The sequence below is a fragment of the Homo sapiens genome, chromosome 15 (genome assembly GCF_000001405.40).
Source record: "Homo sapiens chromosome 15, GRCh38.p14 Primary Assembly".
Taxonomy (NCBI): Eukaryota; Metazoa; Chordata; class Mammalia; order Primates; family Hominidae; genus Homo; species Homo sapiens.
The window spans coordinates 25051331-25064859 of record NC_000015.10 but is presented as its reverse complement, the minus strand read 5'-3'; the positions used below and the strand labels follow the sequence as shown (position 1 = coordinate 25064859).

Below are 13529 nucleotides of genomic sequence, written 5' to 3'. Positions count from 1 at the left end.
TTACTGTCCTGAGCCATCCACCAGCACAGGGTGCACTGTGGATGCGAGGCCACACCGACTCCACGACTCCATGGAGATTCCACTGCTCGGAAGAACTGACCATCTGTCATGCCAGCAGGCGGTGGGCCTCTCAAGGCAACTGCCCCTGAAAAGTGTAAAGAAATCAAATGCACGCTTGAGAAATAGGCCCACGTCCACTGGTCACCACGTCAATGTCATTCTTTCCCACGGGGCAACTCGTACCCCTGCTTCTCCTTGGACCCTATGACTGACCTCCATCTCCATATTCATACCACTACTCTGCTGGGAGGACCAGAAGTGACCCAGGGCCATGGACACCATCCCGACACTCACTCGCCCAGAAACATGCCTTCAAAGACCCATTCATACCTTACCTGTGTCACTCCATGGACACCTATAAGTGTGTGTGGCCTAACGATTGCACACACCCATTGCTGCATCTATTTGTCTGTGGCTGTGCACACATGTGTGCATGAGTGTGTCTCTGTGTGGATGTGTGTCCCCCTAATGCACATGTGTTTCCCAACACCCCAGCGGGCAGTCATAGTCTGCAGCCTCCAGACCGGAACCAACCCCACTAAACCAAAGACTCAAGACCCCAGCCTTCAATCAATAGGATGTGAACTTTGACCTCAAGGCCATGAGGAAAGAGGTCCAAGGTCCCTTGCCTAACAGCCAGCACCCCTGGCACGAGCACATGCTCCTCCTCACAGAGCATCTGATGTCATGACCAGACACTGTCTCTGGCCCCTTTACCAGGTGAGGTGCACCTGATGGAAAACCAACCACAACCAGCACTGGAGGGCGCCTTTGCAATGGCCAGCACATCACTCTGAAACAGCATCAGGGCCACAGGTAGTCTTCCCAACCTAGCCAAAGGACCTCAAGACACACGCTTCCTTCCCTCCACTCAATCCATGTGCCTGCACCATGCCCTCTGGACACTCAAAGAGAATGGCTGCCTTTCCAAAAGGACATCTCCACCTGACCCCCCAAAGACCAGGCAGACAGGACATTGTCATTATCCTTGCATTAGACACACCCACAGAGTTTCCCTGCACCAACCTCTGAGACAATATCCCATCACTCAGCCAGCTTGACCATGCTACCACCCACCCCAATGCCAGCAAGTCAACACTGCATCAACACCACCCGGTCTACATGCATGCAGCTACTAAGTGAGCTGCAAGATGTACGACCACCAATCCTTTCCAATTTTTCTGTGCCAACTGTATGCCCTTGAAAGTGGCATGGCTGTCCTGCCTGCTCTGTGACTTCAAACCAGCTAAGGGAGCTGAAATGCTTTATCACGCCTAGGGACTTTTGGAGTCCAACACTGGAACATCGCCAGCACACAGTCACATGGAGACATGCCAAGTCAAGACTCTCTGTGGCAATGCCCCTGGGATTGCAAACACACTGCTCAGAATGCACATAGATCTCCACGGGTAGCCTCATGCATGACTGGAGCCCAAAGGAGAGTCCCAGGCCAGGGACAGGGCACATTCGCTCTGGACACTTTTGGGATGGAAAGCGGGAATGATACAGAGCAGTATTTGCTCACGAGAGCAGCAGCAGGTGGGGCCACCCGACAACGAAGGCCAAGAGACCATTTCCAGGAAGATGTGCACAACAGTAGAGCCCCCTACTCTGCTGGGAACAACAGAAGTGACCCAGGGCCATGGACACCATCCTCACACTCACTCACCCAGAGACATGCCCTCAAAGACCCACCCTGGCTGACCTGTCATCCACCAGAGAAATCCATGGAAAGCCTATCACTGCCAAATTAAAGCCCAATGCACACTCATGTCCACGAGAGCCCTCTAGCACCTTTTCTCTGGAATACCACCCTGCCTACACCTTCACCACCAAACCACAGGCATCTTACATTTCGGGAGGCAAAGAAATCCGTGCTGGGGGGACACTGTGACCAACATTGGCAGGAGGGCTGAAGAGCCATTGGCCATCTGCCGTGGCACCCATTGCTCCACACTCTCCCTCATCACCCTTGGCACTTCCCTGTCCTCAGCTAACCAGAAATCAAGAACAAGGTCTGCCTGAGGCCTGGACCTTGTGCTCTCCTTGGTAGCAAAAGTGAGACCTTGTCCTCTGCATGGAGATGCCACCCATGAGGTCCAGGCCTCCCTTCCTGAAAGCTCACCAAGCTGAGACCAGCCACACACTCCCCTAGGCCCACGACATTTCTCCCCTCTTCCATGGCCGCCACGCCATCACAGAGCAGCCAGTGCCCCCACAAATCTCCCACCCATGTACCTCACACAGAGGGAATGTTCCTAACGAGTATTTCATGGGAGACTTTGGCCTGTGGATGTCCTCGGTGGTGGAACCTATGGGAACCAGTGGAAGTTGTCCCTCGCTCCTACAGTCCCCACGGGAGGCAACGTGCTGGACCTCAGTTCTGATGAGAACGACGGTATGAGTTCTCACTCATTTTGTTCAGCTTTTCCAAGGAATGTTTTTATGGGGGACTCATCATCGATCCAAGCACATTTGAAGAGGTGGGACATTTGACACCCACAGGCCAGACAGTGGGCAAGCCGATGACGTTAAAGAACTTTGGCACCCTAGGGAAGCCAGAGCCGCGCCACTGAACAACCGGCACAGACCATCCACTTTGGGAATGGAACTCGCCATGCCATTAATGGCCTGCCAAGAAACTGTTGCTCACAGGTCTCAGAAATTCTAAAGGCACCATCACTCAGCACACGGGGCAGAAAAATGCTTACCGTCCTGGGCCACCCGCCAGCACGGGGTGCACCGTGGATGCCAGGCCACACCAAATCCAGGAACCCGCAGGGCCTGTTTCTCAGAAGCATCGACCATCTTCCTTGACAGCAGGCAGCGGACCTCCCACGGCAACTGTCCCTGAGAAGTGTAAAGAAATCAAATGCATGCTTGAGAAACAGGCCCAGGTTCACTGGACACTTCAACACCATTCTTTCCCACAGGGCAACTCACACACCTGCTTCTCCTTGGCCTCCATGACTGACCTCCAGCTCCATGAATATACCTTACCTGCGTCACTCTGTGGACACCTAAAAGCATATGTGGCCAGAACCACACCATGTGCACATCGCTGCATCTATTAGCCTATGGCTGTCTGTGCCTGTGTGTGTGTGTGTGTGTGTGTGAAAGAGAGAGTGTGAGTTTGAGTGTGAGTGTATGAGAGTGTGTGTGTATGGGTGGGTGTGGGTGTGTGCATGTGTGAGAATGTTAGTTTAAATGGGCATGTTTGTCTCCCTAATGCACATGTGGGTCCCAACACCACAATGGGCAGTTCTAGTTTGCAGCCTCCAGACCTGATCCCCCCAGCAATCCGATGGCTCAAGACCCTGGCCTTCGATCACTGGATGTGAACTTTGACCTCCGGGCCATGTGGAAACAGGTCACAGGTCTCTTACCTAACAGCCACCACCTCTGGCAGGAGCACAGGCTCCTCCTCTTCCTCATGGGGCTTCTGATGTCATGACAAGACACTGTCTCTGGCCACCCTCTTAGGTGAGGTGCACCTGGCGGAAAACCAACCACAACCAGCTCCAGAGGGCGCCTTTGCAAAGTCCAGCATGTCAGTCTGAAACTTGGCATCAAGGCCAGAGGTAGGACTAGCAACCTAGCAAAAGGACCTCAAGATACATGCCTCCTCCCCTCCACTCAGTCCATGTGCCCGCACCGTTCCCTCAGGACACCCAAAGAGAATGGCTGCTTTTCCAACAGGACGTCCCTACCTGAATTCCCAAGGACCAGGTTGACAGGACACACTGCCTGTCATCGTTCTTCAATTGGACACACCCACAGGGCATCCCTGCACCGACCTCAGAAGCAATAACCCCTCATGCAGCCAATCTGACTGCACTACTACCCACCCCAACACTGGCAAGTCAACACTGCATCAGCACCACCAGGTCTACATGCATGCAGCTACTAAGTGAACTGAGAACTGTAGAACCACCAATCCTTTCCAACTTTCCTAAGCCAACCAAGTGCCCTTGAAAGTGGCACGGCTGTCCTGGCTGCACTGTGAATTTAAACTGGCTAAGGGAGCTAAAATGCTTCATCATGCATAGGGAGTAGCGGAATCCAACACTGGAACATTGCCAACATGCAGAGGCGTGGAGGCATCCCAAGTCAAGAGACTTTCCGTGGCAACACCCCTGGGATTGCACACGCATTGCCCGGAATGGACACGGACCTCCACAGACAGCCCCATGCATGATTGGAACCCACGGGAGGGTCCTGGGCCTGGGCCAGGGCACATTCCCTCTGGATGCCTTTGGGACGGATGCTGCTTTCAAAGCAAGAAAAAGGATCAAGAGCAGTATTTGCTCACACAAGCTGCAGCAGGTGGGGCCGCCTGGCAATGGCGGGCCAAGAGACTATTTACAGGAAGATGTACACAACGGTGGAGCCCATTACTCTGCCAGGAAGATCGGAGTGACCCAGGGCCACAGGCAGCAGCCCAACCCTCACACGCCTGGGAACTGCCCTTGAAGACCCCTGCTGCCCGACCTGTCATCCATCAGAGGAATACACGGAAAGCCCAGCACCACCAAATGAGAGCCCAAGACCACTGATGGCACACCTGTCCATGTGAGCCCCCTACCACCTTTTCTCTGGAATACCAGAGAATATGTCCTACCCAGGTCTCCACCACCACACCATGGGCATCTCACGGTTCAGGAGGCAAAGAAATCCATGCTGGGGTGACCCTGGGACCAACGCTGGGGGAAGGGCCGAAGAGGCTTTGGCCATCTGCTACAACACCCATTGCTCTGCACTCTTCCCCATCACCCTTGGCACTCCCCTGTCCTCAGCTAACTGAAAATCAAGACCAAGGTCTGCCTGAGGCTGGGACCTCATACTCTCTGTAGTAGGGGAACCAGGACCCGGTCCTGTGTGCGAGGAAGCTTGACACAAGGTCCGGGTCTCCCTTCCTGGGAGCTCATCAGTGCCACGCACTCCTCTAGGCCTGAGATTTTTCCGTCCACTTCCACAGCTGCCACGCCATCACACAGCATCCAATCCCTCCGTGACTCTCCTAACAGTGTATCTCACGCAAAGGGAATGTTCCTAATGTGCGTGTGATGGCAGACATTTACCTGCGGATGCCCTGGGTGGTGGAACCTATAGGGACTAGTGGAAGCTCTCCCTCACTCCAACAGTCCCTGCTGGAGGCAACGCGCTGGACCTCAGTTCCGCTGAGAACGACGGTATGAGTTTTCACTCATTTTGTTCAGCTTTTCCAAGGAATGTTTTTTTGGGGGGACTCATCATCGATCCAAACACATTTGAAGAGGCAGGACATTTGACACCACAGGCTGGGCAGTAGGTGAGCTGACGACCTTAAAGACCTTCGGCACCCTGGGGAAGATAGAACCATGGCACTGAGCAAAAGGCAGAGACCATTTGCTCAAGGAATGCAACTCACCATGCCATTAGTGGCCTCATGAGAAACAGCTCATTATGGGTCTTGGAAATCCAAAAGACACCGTCACTCAGCACATGGGGCAGAGGAATGCTTACCATCCTGAGCAATCCACCAGCATGAGGTGAACCCTGGAAGCCAGGCCACACAGACTCCAGGACTCTGCAGGGCCTTTGTGGTTCAGAAGAACTGACCATCTTCCTTCCAGCAGGCAGCGGGCCTCCCACGGCAACTGCCCCTGAGAAGTATAAAGAAATCAAATGTACGCTTGAGAAACAGGCCCAGGTCCACTGGTCACTACTTCAGTGCCATTCTTTCATGCGTGGCAACTTGCACGCCTTGCTTCTGTTGGCCTCCATGAGTGACCTCTGTTTCCATGAATGTACCTTACCAGTGGCACTCTGCAAACAGCTTGGAGCTGTGTGTGGCGCCAGACCGACCGCGCACACACACATTGCTGAGTGGCTGTGTGTGTGTGTGTGTGTGTGTGTGTGTATCTCCCTCATGCACATGTGTTTCCCAACACGAGTTTCCCAACATGGCAACATGCAGTCATAGTCTGCGGCCTCCAGACCTGAGCCCCTACCAACCCAACAATTCAAGACCAAGGCCTTCAATCAGCAGGATGTAAACTCTGACCTCGAGGCCATGCAGACATAGGCCCAAGGGCCCTCACATAACAGCCACCATCCCTAGCCTGAGCATAAGCTCCTCCTCACGGGGCATCTGATGTCGTGACCAGACACTGTCTCTGGCAGCACTCCCAGGAAAGGCACACCTGGCACAAAACCAAACACAACCAGCACTGGAGGGCGCCTTTGCAACGGCCAGCACGTCACTCTGAAACTCAGCATCAAGGCCACAGGCAGTCTGCCCAACCTAGGCAAATGACCTCAAGACACGGGCTTCCTCTCCTCCACTCAGTCCATGTACCTGCACCATGTCCTCAGGACACCCAAAGGGAATGGCTGCTTTTCCCATGGGACATCCCTGCCTAACGCCCCAAACACCAGGCAGACAGGACACAGTGCCTTCCATCATCCTTGCATCGATCACACTCAAAGGCCTTCCTTGCACCGACCTCCGACGCAACATCCCACCACGCAGCCAACTTGGATGCAGGACCATCCTCCCCAACACCTGCTCAACGACATCTGACAACCACCACCAGGTCTACATGCACATGGCTACTAAGTGAGCCACGAGCCGCAGAATGACCAATCCTTTCCAACTTTCCTAAGCCATCTGCATGCCCTTCAACATGGCATGACTATCCTGGCTACGCTGAGACTAACGGGGTTGAAACAGTTCATCACACCTAGGGCGTAGCTAAATCCAACACTTGAGTATCACCAACATGCAGAGGAGTAGAGGCAACTCAAATCAAGGGACTCTCTATGGAAGGCACCTAGGATTAAATATGCATTGTCTGGACTGCACACAGACCCCCATGGACAGCTCCAAGTGTGACCGAATCCCACAGGAGAGTTCCGAGCCAGGGCCAGGGCCAGGGCACATTCCCTCTGAAAGTCTTCAGGATGGAAGCCACTTTCAAAGCAGGACGGAAGATCCAAAGCAGTTATTTGCTCACAAGAGCTGCAGCATGTGGGGCTGCTCAGCAATGGAGGGCCAAGAGACCATTTCCAGGAAGATGTGCACAACGGTGGAGCCCACTATTCTGCCGGGAAGACCAGAAGTGACCGAGGGCCACGGGCTACAGCCCAACACTCATGCTCCTTGGATCTGCCCTTGAAGGCCCCACTGGCTAACCTGTCATCCACAATAGAAATCCATGGAAAGCCCATCACTGCCAAATGACAGCCCAAGACCACTGATGACACGCGTGTCCATGTGAGCCCTCTACCACCTTTTCTCTGGGGTACTGTCCTGCCCAGGCTGAGCCACCACACCATGGATAACTCATGGCTCAGGAGCCAAAGAAATTGCTGCCAGGGGCCCCTGTAACCAACACTGGGGGGAGGGCCAAAGAGGCTTTGGCTGTCTGCCACAACACCCATTGCTCTCCACTGTCCCCCATCACTTTGGCACTCCCCTCTCCTCAGATAACTGAAAATCAAGACCAAGGTCTGTCTGAGGTCTGGGCCTTGTGCTCTCCTTGGCATAAAAAAAAGACCTGGTCCGCCACATAGAGAGGCCCATCAGGAGGTCAGGGTCTCCCTTCCTGGCAGCTCACCAAGCCAAGGCCAGCCGCACACTCCCCTAGGTCTGCATTTCCACCCACTTCTACAGTTGCCACGACATCACAGAGCAGCCAATCCCCCCATGACTCTCCTACTTGTATACCTCACACAGAGGGAATATTTCTATTGTGCCTGTGATGTGAGACTTTCATCCATGGACGCCCTGAGTGGTAGAACCTCTGGGAACCAGTGGAAGTTGTCCCTCGCTCCTACAGTCCCCGGGGGAGGCAATGTGCTGGACCTCAGTTCCGATGAGAACGACGGTATGAGTTCTCACTCATTTTGTTCAGCTTTTCCAAGGAATGTTTTTATGGGGGACTCATCATCGATCCAAGCACATTTGAAGGGGCAGGATATTTGACACCACAGGCTGGGCAGTGGGCAAGCCGATGACCTTAAAAACCCTCCGCACGCTGGGGAAGCCAGAGCTGCACCACTGAACAATGGGCACAGACCGTTCACTTTAGGAGTGGAACTCGCCATGCCATCAGTGGCCTGCTGAGAAACAGCTCCTTGCAGGTCTTGGAAATCCCACCCCCACTCAGCATGTGCGGCGGAGGAATGCTTACCATCCTGAGCCATCCACCAGCAGGGGGCGCACCGTGGATGCTAGGCAACACCAACTCCAGGATGTTGGGGGCCTTTGTGGCTCAGAAGAACTGACCATCTTCCTTGCCAGCATATGGCGGGTGTCCCATGATAACTGCCCCTGAGAAGTGTAAAGAAATCAAATGCATGCTTGAGAAATGGGCCCAGGTTCACTGGTCACTTCAACGCCACTCTCTTCCACAGAGCAACACACATGCCCGCTTCTCCTTGGCCTCCATTATGGACCTCCATCTTTATAAATGTATCTGACTGTGTCACTTTCTAGACACCTAGGAAGCACGTGTGGCCGGAACGACCACACGCACGTGGTGCTACGTATATTTGCCTGTGGCTGTGAGCGCCTGTTTGTGTGTGTGATAGTGTATGTGTGTTTCCCTCATGCACATGTGTTTCCCAACACCGCAACAGGAGGCCATAGTCTGCAGCCTCCAGACCTGAAGCCCCTGCAACCCGAAGGCTCAAGACCAAGGTCTTCAATCAGTAGGATGTAAAATCAGGCCAGGAGGACATAGGCCTGAGGTCCCTCACCTAACAGCCACCACCCCTGGAGTGAGCACATGCTCCTCCTCATGGGGCATCTGATGTTGTGACCTGACACTGTCTCTGGCTGCACTCCCAGGTGAGGCTCACTTGGCGGAAAACCAACCACAACCAGCACGTGAGGGCGCCTTCACAATTACCAACCCATAGGTCTGAAAATGGCATCAAGCCAGAGGCAATCTTCCCAACCTAGCCAAAGGATCTCAAGACACGGGCTTCCTCCACTCAGTCCACATGCCCGCACTGCACCTTCAGGACAACCGAAGGGAATGGCTGTTTTCCAACAGGACGTCCCTTCCCCAAGGACCAGGTTGACAGGACACACTGCCTTCCATGGTCCTTGCACTGGTTACACCCACAGGGCTTCTCTGCACAGAACTCTGAGGCAACATCCCATCATGCAGCCAACTTGACTGCATTACCACCCATCCCAACTCCTGCAAGTCAACACTGCCTCAGCACCATCACCAGGTCTACAAGTAAACAGCTACTAATGAGCTGCGATCTGCAGAACCACCAATCCCTTCCAACATTCCTAATGCAGTCGTGGGCCCCTCAACATGATATGGCTGTCCTGGCTGCACTGTGACATCAAACTGTTTAAGGGAGCTGAAATGCTTCATCACCCTTAGGGTGTAGCAGAATGCAACACTGGAACATCACCAACATGGGAGGTGCAGGGGCATCCCAAGTCAACGAACTCTCCATGGCAGGCCCCTAGAATGTTGCCTGGAATGCACCCGGATCTCCATGGATAGCCACGTGTGACCAATGCCCACAGCAGAGTTCCTGGCCAGGGCCAGGACACATACCCTCTGGACGCCTTCAGGATGGAAGCTGCTTTCAAAGCAGGAAAGAGGATCCAGAGCCATATTTGCTCACACGAGCTGCAGCAGGTGTGGCCGCTCGGCAATGGCGGGCCAAGAGACGACTTCCAGGAAGATGTGCCCAACAGTGGAGCCCACTACTCTGTCAGGAAGACGAGAAGTGACCAAGGGCCAGGAGCACAAGTCTGACCCTTGTATTCCCTGGAACCTGCCCTCTGACACCTCTGCTGGCCAACTTGTCATCCACTAGAGAAATAAATGGAAAGCCCATCAACGCTGAACAACAGCCCAAGACTGCTGATGACACACATGTCCACATAAGCCCCCTACCACCTCTTCTGTGGAGTACCTTCCAGTCCAGGCTTCCACCATAGCACCAGGGGCATCTCACGGCTCAGGGGATGAAGAAATCCCTGCTGGGGGGCCTCCATGACTGGATGCTGGGTGGAGGGCCAAAGAGGCTTTGGCTCTCTGTCACAACACCCTTTGTTATACACTGTCCCCCATCACCCTTGGCACTCCCTTGTCCTCAGCTAATCAAAAATCAGGACCAACATCTGCCTGAGGCCTGGGCCTTGTGCTCTCCCCGGCAAGAAAACAAGGACTCAGTCCTCTGCTCAGAGACGCCTGCCACGAGGTCCGCGTCTCCCTTCCTAGGAGCTCACCAAGCCAAGATCAGGCGCACACTACCCTAGGCCTGCGATATTTCTGTCTGCTTCCATGGCCACCAGGCCATCACAGAGCAGCCGTTCCCCCCAGGACTCTCCTACCTGTGTACCTCACAAAAAGGGAATGTTCCTAATGAGCATTTGATGGGAGACTTTGGCTGTGGATGCCTTGGGTGGTGGAACCTATGGGAATCAGTGGAAGTTGTCCCTCACTCCTACAGTCCCCGGGGAAGGCAACGTGCTGGACCTCAGTTCCGATGAGAATGACGGTATGAGTTTTCACTCATTTTGTTCAGCTTTTCCAAGGAATGTTTTTTTTGGGGACTCATCATCGATCCAAGCACATTTGAAGGGGCAAGGGGCAGGATATTTGACACCACAGGCTGGGCAGTGGGTGAGCCAATGACCTTAAAGACCTTCGGCCCCACTAGAGCGATGCCACTGAGCAATGAGCACAGACTATCCACTCTAGGAGAGGAACTCGCCATGCCATTAGTGGTTAGCTGAGAAACTGCTCCTTGCGGGTCTTGGAAATCCGAAAGACACCCTCATTCAGCATACTGGGCAGAGAAATGCTTACCGTCCTGAGCCACCTGCCAGCACACAGTGCGCCATGGATGCCAGGCCACACAGAATCCAGGACTCCGTGTGGCCTTCGTTGCTCAGAAGAATTGAGCATCTTCCTTCCAGCAGTTACCACACCTCCCACAGCAACTGCCTCTGAGAAGTGTAAAGAAATCAAATAAACGCTTGAGAAATGGGCTCAGGTCCACTGGTCAACACTTCAATCCCATTCTTTCCCGTTGGGCAACTTGCACACCCGTTATTCCTTGGCTTCCACGACTGACCTCCATCTCCATGAATATATCTTACATGTGTTACTCTGTGGATACCTAAAAGTGCACGTGGTCACATACGCCCATTGCTGCATGTATTTGCCTGTGGCTCGGCATGCCTCTGTGTGTGTGTGTGTGTGTGTATGAATGTGTGTGTGTGTGTCTCCCTCATGCACATGTGTTTCCTAACATGTGTGTTTCCCAACACTGCAACAGGCAGTCATAGTCTGCAGCCTCCTGGCCTGACACCACGCCAACCCAACAGCTGAAGACCAAGGCCTTCAATCAGTAGGATGTGAATTTTGACCTGGAGACCATGCGGACATAGGCCCAAGGTGGCTCGCCTACCAGTCAACTCCCCTGGTGTGAGTACACACTCCTCCTCACGGGACATCTGATGTCCTGAGCAGACACTGTCTCTAGCCGCCCTCTCAGGTGAGGCGTACCTGGTGGAAAACCAATCACAACCTGTGCTGGAGGGCGCCTTTGCAATGGCCAGCACATCAGCCTGAAACTTGGCGTCAAGGCCAGAGGTGGTCTTCCCAATCTAGCCAAAGGACCTCAAGACACAGCCTTCCTCCCCTCCACTCAGTCCATGTGCCTGCACTATGCCCTCTCGACACACAAACGGAATGGCTGCTTTTCCAATGGGACGTCCCCCCTACCGATGTCCCAAGGACCAGGCGGATGGGATACACTGCCTTTCATTTTCCTTGCATTGGACACACCCACAGGGCTATCCTGTACTGACCTCTGAGGCAACATCCCATTATGCAGCCAACTTGACTGCACTACTACCCGCCGCAATGCCTCAAAGTCAACACTACCTGAACACCACCACTGGGTCTACATGCATGCAGCTAGTGAGTGAGCTGCGAGCTCAGAACCACCCATCCTTTCCAACATTCCTAAGCCATCTGCATGCCCTTCAACATGGCATGGCTGTCCTGGCTGCGCTGAGACTTCAAACCGGTTAAGGGAGCCAAAACAGTTCATCACCCCTAGGGTGTAGTGGACTCCAACACTTAAATATTGCCAACATGCAGAGGTGTGAGGCATCCCAAGTAAAAGGACTCTGTGGCAGCACCCCTGGGATTGCACCCGTGTTGCCTGGAATGCACACAGACCTCCATGGATAGCTCCAAGTGTGACGAGTACCTACGGCACAGACTTGGGCCAGAGCCAGGGTCAGGGCACATTCACTCTGGACCTTCAGGACTGAAGCTGCTTTCCAAGCAGGAAAGAGGATCCAGAGCAGTATTTGCTCATACAAGCTGCAGCAGGTGGAGCCGCCCAATAATGGCGGGCCAAGAGACCATTTATAGGAAGATTTGCACAATGGAGGAGCCCATTACTCTCCTGGGAAGACTGGAAGTGACCCAGGGCCACGGGCACCAACTCGATCCTCGTGCTCCCCAGGACCTGGCCTCGAAGACCCCTGCTGGCCAACCTGTCTTCCACCAGAAAAATCCATGGGAAGCCCATCACCCCTGAATGACAGCCCAAGCCTGCTAATGACACTCATGTCCATGTGATCCCTCTACCACCTTTCCCCTGGAGTACCTTCCTACCTAGGCCTCTGCCACTGCACCACAGGCATCTCACAGCTCAGGAGGCAAAGAAATCCCTTCCAGGAGGGCTCCTGGTGACCAATGCTGCAGGGTAGGCTGAAGAGGCTTTCACTGTTTGCCCCGACACCTATTGCTCTGCACTCTCCCCTAACACCTTGGCACTCCCCTGTTCTCAACTAATCAAAAATCAACACCAAGGTCTGCCTGAGGTCTGGGCCTTGGGCTCTCCTCGACATGAAAACAGACACCTGGTCTTCTGCACTGAGATGACCACTGTGAGGTCCGGGTCTTCCTTCTGGGAGCTTACCAGTAGCACACACCCCTGTGCTGGCAACATTTCCACTTCCCCTAGGCCTGCAACATTTCTGCCTGCTTCCACGGCCACCACGCCATCACAGAGCGGCCGAATCCCCCATCACTCTCCCACCCATGTACCTCACACAGAGGGAATGTTCCTAACGTGCCTGTGACACGAGACTTTTGTCTGTGGATGCCCTGGGTGGTGGAACCTATGGGAATCAGTGGAAGTTGTCCCTCACTCCTACAGGCCCCAGAGGAAGCAACATGCTGGACCTCAGTTCCGATGAGAATGACGTTATGAGTTCTCACTCATTTTGTTCAGCTTTTCCAAGGAATGTTTTTATAGGGGACTCATCATCGATCCAAGCACATTTGACAAGGGGCAAGACATTTGACACCACAGGCTGGGAAGGGGCGAGCTGATGACCTTAAAGACATTCAGCATGCTGGGGAAGCCAGAGCTGCACCACTGAGCAATGGGCACAGACCATCCACTCTAGGAGTGGAACT

The 13529-nt window shown here is 53.9% G+C and overlaps 1 long non-coding RNA gene and 5 other non-coding genes across 6 annotated transcripts in view; all 6 read right to left on the bottom strand.

Moving 5' to 3' along the window:
• Positions 1-13529, bottom strand: part of SNHG14 (small nucleolar RNA host gene 14) — a 595855-nt gene that overhangs the window by 354603 nt on the left and 227723 nt on the right. Inside the window, exons 25-31 of the long non-coding RNA NR_146177.1 lie at positions 10893-11032; positions 8238-8377; positions 5566-5705; positions 5142-5403; positions 3447-3554; positions 2772-2910; positions 5-145 (exon numbers count right to left, since the gene is read on the bottom strand). This is a non-coding gene — a long non-coding RNA (small nucleolar RNA host gene 14). The remainder of the gene's footprint in view (positions 1-4; positions 146-2771; positions 2911-3446; positions 3555-5141; positions 5404-5565; positions 5706-8237; positions 8378-10892; positions 11033-13529) is intronic.
• Positions 2432-2528, bottom strand: SNORD116-5 (small nucleolar RNA, C/D box 116-5). Its single transcript, NR_003320.1, has one exon. It is a non-coding gene; the product is annotated as a small nucleolar RNA, C/D box 116-5 (small nucleolar RNA).
• SNORD116-4 (small nucleolar RNA, C/D box 116-4) lies at positions 5226-5323 on the bottom strand. The gene has a single exon (NR_003319.1). It is a non-coding gene; the product is annotated as a small nucleolar RNA, C/D box 116-4 (small nucleolar RNA).
• SNORD116-3 (small nucleolar RNA, C/D box 116-3) lies at positions 7905-8001 on the bottom strand. Its single transcript, NR_003318.1, has one exon. It is a non-coding gene; the product is annotated as a small nucleolar RNA, C/D box 116-3 (small nucleolar RNA).
• SNORD116-2 (small nucleolar RNA, C/D box 116-2) lies at positions 10555-10651 on the bottom strand. Its single transcript, NR_003317.1, has one exon. It is a non-coding gene; the product is annotated as a small nucleolar RNA, C/D box 116-2 (small nucleolar RNA).
• On the bottom strand, positions 13288-13384 carry SNORD116-1 (small nucleolar RNA, C/D box 116-1). Its single transcript, NR_003316.1, has one exon. It is a non-coding gene; the product is annotated as a small nucleolar RNA, C/D box 116-1 (small nucleolar RNA).